The following is an 8402-nucleotide window of genomic DNA, read 5'->3' as shown; positions in this document are numbered from 1 at the left end:
AGAAGGTGTAAAATGAGCTGGAACATTAACTATGGATAAGAGTTAAGGGAAAGGTCAGAGAGGATGCCAGGCAGGAAAAGAAAATGACCAAAGGTAGGGAGGTAGAACCGGCTAGAGCATTTTCAACATGCCAGATCCCCAGAAGGCTCTTGGTGGTAAGCTGTGAGGAGAACACCAGAAAGGTAATTGTCTTCCTTTCTTAGCCTCTTGAGAAGAAACTGCCTCGCCTGAATTAGCTGGCACTGACGATACATATAATGCTGCTGCATGTGCTTATACCCTGCATCTGAAAGTCCTCTGGATGCCCTGTTTCCTGTCTGTCTTCAAAGTTGTCTGGACCATTTTTACTGTAGCTTCATATTTTTTCTCTGTTCTTTGCCACTCACTTGGCCACCTGGTGTAGACTCACTAGACCAATAGGATGCTGGCTCTTGGCAGTCAGGTAACCATACAAGCTAGGGAATATGGGTATAGCATCACACCAGGCTGCACTCGCCAGCAGGCTGAAGATGTTTTCAGGGATGAGGCTCTGGCTAATTGGGAAGGGGTGCCCCGGCATTGGCCCGTAGACTGTGCTCTCCCTGCTCCTGGCTTCCCCCTTCAGAGGAGAGGAGCTAACTGGGAGGTAAGGATGATATCAGGCCTCGGTCTGCTGAGGATCGGAGAGCTAAAGGGTTAGCTAGGAGGAAATCCAAGCTAGCCAGCAGAGCCTCCTGGGATGCTGGACAGGTGGCCACAGGAGGTCAATATGAGTCTGTGCAGGATGCTGGAATTGGTGTGGTCATTGTTAACACAAAGTAAGATCTTTAACAAGCCACATGTGGCAGGGTGCAGTGGCTCATGCCTGTAATCCCAGCACTTTGGGAGGCCGAGGCAGGTGGATCCCCTGAGGTCAGGAGTTCGAGACCAGCCTGGCCAACATGGCGAAACCCCATCTCTACTAAAAATACAAAACTTAGCCAGGCATGGTGGTGGGCACCTGTAATCCCAGCTACTCAGGAGGCTGAGGGAGGAGAATCACTTGAACCCGGGAGGTGGAGGTTGCAGTGAGACGTGATTGCATCATTGCACTCCAGCCTGGGTGACAGAGCGAGACTCCATCTCATAAAACAAAACAAAAACAAACAAACAAAAAAACCCAAAAACAAGCTATAGGTCTCTAGTTAGAGGGCACTTCTGCACAGTGCTCCTTCTTTCCCCTCATGGGCTGCTGGCACACAGAGGAAGGTAAGTGATATTCCTAGTAATGTAATGACTGCACCTGGGCTTCTGCTTCAAAGCTTGTCTCAGGAATTGCAAGTTATACCATCCTGCTTTTCCTCATCACCTGGTCCTGCTCAGACAATCTGCCTGCTCAGTGAAGCATGAGGTCCGGAAGGTTTGCTTTGCTTCAGCTCATTTGGGGAATCACTGGGGGTTTTCCCTGCACATTTGTTCATTGTTAGGGCTTCCTCCCATCAGCCTTCCTAGATGGCTGGATCTTGTCCATGTACTGCGAGATATTCCAGAATGACTTGCTGGGAAAGAGAAACGGCTGCATCTCACAGGCGGGAATGTCCAGTGATGTGGTGGTGTGGGCCTGTGTTATAGCTCCCATGAGAGGCTGCCAAAAAGACAGGTAAGGGCATCAGATCCCATCTGGGTCAGGAGATGGAGTGAGCTCTGAAGCTGACACTCTCTGTGCACTTCCTTGTCTCCTCTCTGGGCCTCAACTTTCCATCTACAAAATGCAGATGATCTCAAAGAGCTTTTCTAGGAATGCACAGTCATGTTTTATGGGGGGACCCATTCCAGAATTGCTCCAACTCATATTGATTTTGCAATCTGTATGCTCACTAAATACATTCTTCATTCAGGTCTCAAATGTCTCTGGCCTGGAAGAAGACAACAGCTTTTTGATTGGTCTCCTTGTCTTCCATATGCCTCCAATTTTTCTCTTCACTTCTGTTAGAATGACATTTATAAATTAGAAATATGATTATGGCTTCCCAATAATTACAAAACAATCTAAATGGGGTGACACATGTGAGGCCTTTTAATATCTGAGCTTACTGCCATCTTCCAGCCTCTGTTCCCAGCCCTTTCCCCCAGGGCTTTATGTTTCAGCTAGTCTCAAAACCTCACTTTTCCCTGAAGGTATCATTCTGCCTCTCTTATCTCCATTTGGAATAGCAGTATTGAAATAAAAGAGTTTTTAGAGCCAGAAAAACCTGGCATGAGACTTAGCTCTGCCATTTCCTACCTTTGTGAATCTGGACATGCTGTTTCTTTTCTGAGCTCCAGCTTAATTGTTTCTAGAATATGATTGACGTGAGAGTTAATGATAAAGGCCTATGTTTTAGTTCATGAAAGGCAGTCAATAAGTTTCTAGAATTATTACTATAATTCTTATCTGTTTTTGATAATTCCCTACTTTTCCTTTAAAACCCAGCTCCAGTGTTAGCTCTTTGATGAGGCTTCTCCAAGTACCAGACAAAGGACCTTGCTTTTTCTTAGACCTCTGTTCAAAGTTGTTAGAATACTCACCATCTTGTATTTTTATTGTCTATTTATGTGTTTGTCTTGCCTGCCTGACTTTGAACTCCTTGAGGAGAAGAATTGTATTTCATTTGTCTCTTCATCTCTTGTGCCCAGCACAAGGCCTGTCAGGTGCTCAGCGAATGTTGAATGAACAAATGACTGTTTTCATTCTTGGTTAGAAAGAACTTTCATTAAAACCCAGAGGAAGGAAATGTGGAGGCTTGTTTAGTCTGCGTTGCCTGATTAACTAGGCACACCCATGCTCTCTTGATTCCCCTACTGGTCTGTTCTTTGGCAAATATCAGAAGGTCGTGTGGCATCCTGTCTCCCTTATCTAGGTGGGTGTGATACAGCCAGGGAAGCCTCCACACCCTGTATCAAAATAGACCGGCTAGCTCCAGCCATAGGGAGGGCTTCAAAAACAAATTCAGCACTTGTCTTTGGGAGGTCTGCAGGGGTAAATTTAAGAATGAAAGCTCATCAAAAATGCCTGATAAAACTTGTCTGCACATACTATTGTGCTGCCAGGTATAAAGGGATATACAGAAAGTCCAAAGATTCTGGAAATAAAGGTTTCATTAGAGCTACAACTGATGGGTTCATATGTAAAGAGAAAAAGGAAAATGGGCCTGAAATAGGAAAATGAGGAAAGATTTTAGAGCTGTAGAGATTAACACTTGAACAGCAATCAGTTGGGTGAAAAGTAACCTTTCTGAGATTAATTATGTATTTCTTCACTGGCAAAATAGAGGATGGAAATTACTATCTTGCAGGTTGATAGAATGGCAAAATTAACAAGGTAAGAACAGTCTTATCTTGAGATTGTTTATATTGAGAGTGTTTTAGAAACACTCTCAATGCTTTATGTTTTCTTAGTACCTGAGAAATGACAATGTACATTCACAATAACTCTGGGGGAGCAGATAGAGTAATTATCGTTCATGTTGGGTATTTTCCTTTCCCCTCTGGATCTACTCTTACTCTTCTCTACCCTGCTCTGTGCCCCAGGGGACTGATCTGTAGAACACAGTGGGCTCCAATGTCTTCGGCTCCTTATTTGTTTGGTTAATGTTAATGGGGAACACAAGCAGATAATTAGAGAAAAAAAAGAACGTGAGGTCCGAGTATTCATTTCTTTGAAATCCATAATGTTAGACTCTGGGTTGGCTGCACACCTCTTCCAAAGGTCACAGCTTCTTCTAGGAGGTCCTACGCTTCAGGTTCCAGCTAGAGCTCCTTCCAGGTACAACTCTCAAACCTTGGGGCCTAGGAGTGGAAGTGGCTCCCTGCTGTTGCTAGCTGCCCCCTTCTCCACATAATTCACCATGTTGTGTTGGTTTTCCCCAACCCTGTCCACACCTTTGCAGTACTCTATTCATTAACCTGTCTTCACTCATCCCATTTGTGTGCACCATCAGTTTCCTGCTAGGACATTGACTATTGCAACCTCCAGTTAATGGTCTGAGAAATTAAAGCATGAATAAGTTAAATATCTAGGACAATGTCACATGATTAGGAATTGGCAGAATTTGTCTTGAAATCCAGGTCTTCTGACATCTGCTTCCATGTTAGTTTTAAGACTCAATGATGATGACACAGTCGAGGCCTCTGTTTTGGTCTAAGATTTAAATGATACAGTTCAAATCCTGGCTCCAGCCAGACCTAGCTAGTTGACCATAGACACATGCCTTTACTTCCATTATCCTCTATTTTCATTTTTTTTTCTGAAAAACAGGAAAAATACCCCTTATTCTGTTCATCTCAGGGAGCTGTGGTTAAAACAAGGTCATATTTGTCTCAAATATACAGATGACTTCCTGAAACTTAGAAAATGGTTATTGGTTTAAGTAGTCCAGATAATTTTTAAATTTAATATCAATTTTAATAATAACAAAAGGTATTAACTGCCTAAAATATCAAGGACTGTATGTACTATGTCAAAAATAACAATGATAATAATAACAATGACCCTATGATGATGATAATGGTAGCAATTATAATAATAATACTAGAAAATAATGTTTGTTGAGTTTTTATTAGTCTTTTTAGGCTTCCACAACAAAATGTTATAGACTGGGTGGCTTAAATGACAGAAGTTAATTTTTTCAGAGTTATGGAGACTGGAAGTCCGAGGTCAAGGTGCCAGCAGGGTTGGTTTGTGATGAGGGCTTTCCCCTTGGGTTGCAGATGGATGACTTCTCACTATGTCCTCGCATGACCTCTTATTAGCGTGCCCTCTCTAGGTAGGAAAGGTACAGGAGAGTAAAAGAAAGAGAGCACACAGAAAGAACTTCTGCTTATAAGGACACTGATCCTATCAGGTCAAGGTCTCATCCCTATTACCTCATTTAACTTTAATTAGCTCCTTTACAACCCTACTTCCAAATACAGATACACTGGCTTCAACATAGGAGTTTATGCAGTGGGGCAGCAGCTAACATTCAGTCCATAACAAGTATTATCTGTGTATCCGAGTCTGTGCTAAGCACTTCATTTTTATTTTTTATTATTATTATTATTTTTTGAGACAGGGTCTTGCTCTGTCACCGAGGCTGGAGAGTAGTGGCTCATCATGGATCTCTGCAGCCTTAAGTTCCTGGGTTCAAGCAAGCCTCCCACCTTAGCCTCCTGAGTAGCTAGGACCACAGGTGTGTGCCACCAAGCCTGGCTAATGAAAAAAATTTTTTTATAGAGCCGGAGTCTCCTTATGTTGCCCATGTTGGTCTCGAACTCCTGGGCTCAAGTGATCCTCCTGCCTCAGCCTTTCAAAGTACTGGGATTACAGGCATGAGCCACTGTGCCTGACCCTGTACTAAACACTTTGAATGCGTCATTTCACTTAGTAGTATTCTTAGGGAAGAATACTACAAAAGAAGTCATAGATAATATGTAAATGACCAGAAGTAGTATTGTTCCAATAAAACTTTATTTACAAAAACAGCTGGCAAATCAGATTTGGGCTACAGGCTATAGTTTGCTAACTCGTGTACTGTATGCCAAAGACAATGTTAGGTCCTGGAGACAAAATGGTGATCTCAAGAAGCTCACACACAGGTGGAAAATAAATGAACAAATATGATGAAATTATACCAGTGCTCTCATGGAGGTCTCTACCGAGTTCACTGGGAGTAAAGGAGAAGGAACAGGTGTGAGAAGGGTAAGAGTTTCATGTAGAGGCAGGTGTGTTTGGGGAGTTGGCATACTCTGGAGTTTGGATTTATCCTTTGAGCCATTGAGAACCATATTAATGGATGGACATAAAGCACAGAGGCTTTAGACTAATTGCTGATTTGCCCATTTATTAGTTTTGTGGCATTAGAAAAATAACATGATTTTTCTAAGACTTGTTTTTTCTCCTGAAAAATGTGAATATTAATATTTCCCCTATAGAGTTGTTGTGTGGCTCCAATGAAACAATGAATGCAAAGAATTTAGCATGATACCTGACATATAGTATGTTCTTAATAAATAATAAATATACATATTTTTGTTTTAGAAAGATTACTCTGACCTGGTAAATGTGTTAAAAGACCTAATATTAGAGGCAGGAAAATAAAATAGGAAATGATGACAGAAATCCATAGGAGAAAGAGTGAAAGTATGAATTTAAGCAGAGGCAGAAAAGATGGAGAGAGAGATGTGGACAGGGCTCGAGAGCTAATTCAATGTCAGAGGGAGAGATAGGTCTAAATTAGCTCTAGTGTGTTAGGTATCTAGTGATGCCATTCACCAAGTTAAGGAGCATAGGAGGAAAGCCAGATTTGGGGTAAAGGTATTGAATTCCTTTTTTGGACACATTGATTGGGTGGAAATGTCCAGTAGTTAGTTGATTGCACACTTAACTTTGGAGTTTCAAAATTGAGAATTACCATCAGTGAAAGAATTATCATCATAAAACCCCTGAAAGAGATGAAATCACCAAGGAAGTATTAATAGCTCAAAAAAAAAAAATCAGACAAATTAGCCTTGAAAAACTCACCATTTCAGGGAGCAGAGATAAAGAATCTAGTATGTGTTTTTTAAAAAGTTCAAGAAGGAAATGTCAGAATAGGTCAAGGAGCTCAGAAAGCACTCATATCTCAAAAGTCAATGAAAGAGAGTTATAAGAAGAAGACAAATCCTAAGTATTGGTGAGATGTGGCAAAGTGGTCAACTGAGTTAGCAAATAATCCATAAGTTTAACTGAGGTAGATTTGGTATAACAGTAGAAGGTATGGGATTTTCATGGATTAGAGACTGAGTGGGAACTGGGGGAGTCAAGGCAGTGATTATAGATTATTCCTTGGGGAGAATTTGATTATGAAGAAAAAGGGAAATGAGCACAGGTGCTAGCAAAGACATAAGGGTGGACTTCCTTTCTTTCCTTCAACCTTTTAGAAATTAAATGTCCAGGAAGGAGGACTCTCTAGAGGAATCAGGTGAAAATTGACTGGGAGAAGAGATGGAAAGATTTGCCTTGAATAGGAGAAGGGTGTCTATTAGTTTGGCACGGAATCCAAGGAGATATTGCCTGATGCTGAAATCTGGGCTTCTATTGATCCTGTCACCGAAATAGTAAACACAGTACTTGATAGTTTTTCAGCTCTTGCCCCCCCTTTGTAGCTCCTAGTGTCTATTTGTTCTCATCTTTGTGTCTGTATGTTTAAATACCCGGTGTTTAGCTTCCATTTATAAGTGAAAACATATGGTATTTGGTTTTCTGTTTCTGTGTTAATTAACTTAGGATAATGGCCTCCAGCTGCATCCATGTTGGTGCAAAAGCCAGGATTTCATTTTCTTTTATGGCTGCATAGTATTCCATGGTGTATTTGTACCACATTTTCTTTATCCAATCCACCATTGATGGCCACTGAGGTTGATACCATGTGTTTGCTATTGTGAATAGTGCTGCGATGAACATACAAGTGCAGATGTCTTTTTGATTGAATGATTTTATTTGATTGAATGAATTTATTTTCCTTTGAGTATATACCAAATAATGGGATTACTGGGTCAAATGGTAGTTCTATTTTTAGTTCTTTGAGAAATCTCCAAACTGCTTTCCACAGGGGCTGAACAAATTTGCATTCCCACTAATAGTGTATAAACATTCCCTTTGTGCCACAACCTTGCCAACATCTGTTATTTTTTGACTTTTTAATAACAGCCGTTTTGACTGGTGAAGGATGGTATCTCATTGTGGTTATGATTTGCATGATGATCTCTGATGATCAGTGATATTGAGCACTTTTGTTTTACATAATTTTTGACCACTTGTAGGTTTTCTTTTGAGAAGTGTCTATTAGTGTTCTTTGCTCACTTTTTAATGGGGTCGTTTTTCTCTTGTTAATTTGTTTAACTTCTTTATAGATTCTGGATATTAGTCCTTCGTCAGATGCATAGTGTGTGAATATTTTCTTCCATTCGGTAGGTTGTCTGTTTATTCTGTTGATAGTTTCTTTTGCTGTGCAGAGGCACTTTAATTAGATCCCATTTGTCAATTCTTGTTTTTGCTGCATTTGCTTTGAGAAGTTAGTCATAAATTCTTTGCCTAGGCCAATGTCCACAAGAGTATTTCCTAGGTTTTCTTCTAAGATTTATATAGTTTGAAGTCACTCATGTAAGTCTTTAATTCATCCTGAGTTAATTTTTGTATATGGTAAGAGGTAAGTGTCCAATTTCATTCTTCTGCATATGGTTAGTCAATTTTTCCAGAACCATTCATTGAATAAGGAGTCCTTTCCCTGTTGCTTATTTGTGCCGACTTTGTTAAAGATCAGTTGATTGTAGGTGTGTGGCTTTATTTCTGGGCTCTCTATTCTGCTCCATTGGTCTATGTGTCTATTTTTATACCAGTACCATACTGTTTGTGTTACTGTAGCCTTCAAGTGTAGTTTGAAGTT

At 40.7% G+C, this 8402-nt stretch overlaps 2 annotated features.

Annotated features, from left to right (window-relative positions):
• Positions 1 to 90: an enhancer, noted in NCBI's record as "active region_1075". NCBI's record gives its function as "activates an Ori minimal core promoter by ATAC-STARR-seq in GM12878 lymphoblastoid cells {active_cell/tissue: GM12878}" and the evidence as "EXISTENCE:reporter gene assay evidence [ECO:0000049][PMID:35858748]".
• Positions 1013 to 2212: an enhancer, noted in NCBI's record as "MED14-independent group 3 enhancer chr1:56598956-56600155 (GRCh37/hg19 assembly coordinates)". NCBI's record gives its function as "activates an origin of replication core promoter dependent on BRD2, BRD4, P300/CBP and CDK7 cofactors, and independent of MED14, by STARR-seq in HCT116 cells {active_cell/tissue: HCT116}" and the evidence as "EXISTENCE:reporter gene assay evidence [ECO:0000049][PMID:35650434]".

Source organism: Homo sapiens, chromosome 1 (assembly GCF_000001405.40).
Source record: "Homo sapiens chromosome 1, GRCh38.p14 Primary Assembly".
NCBI lineage: Eukaryota > Metazoa > Chordata > Mammalia > Primates > Hominidae > Homo > Homo sapiens.
Note: the sequence above shows the minus strand (reverse complement) of the source record. Positions and strands in the feature narration are given on the sequence as shown.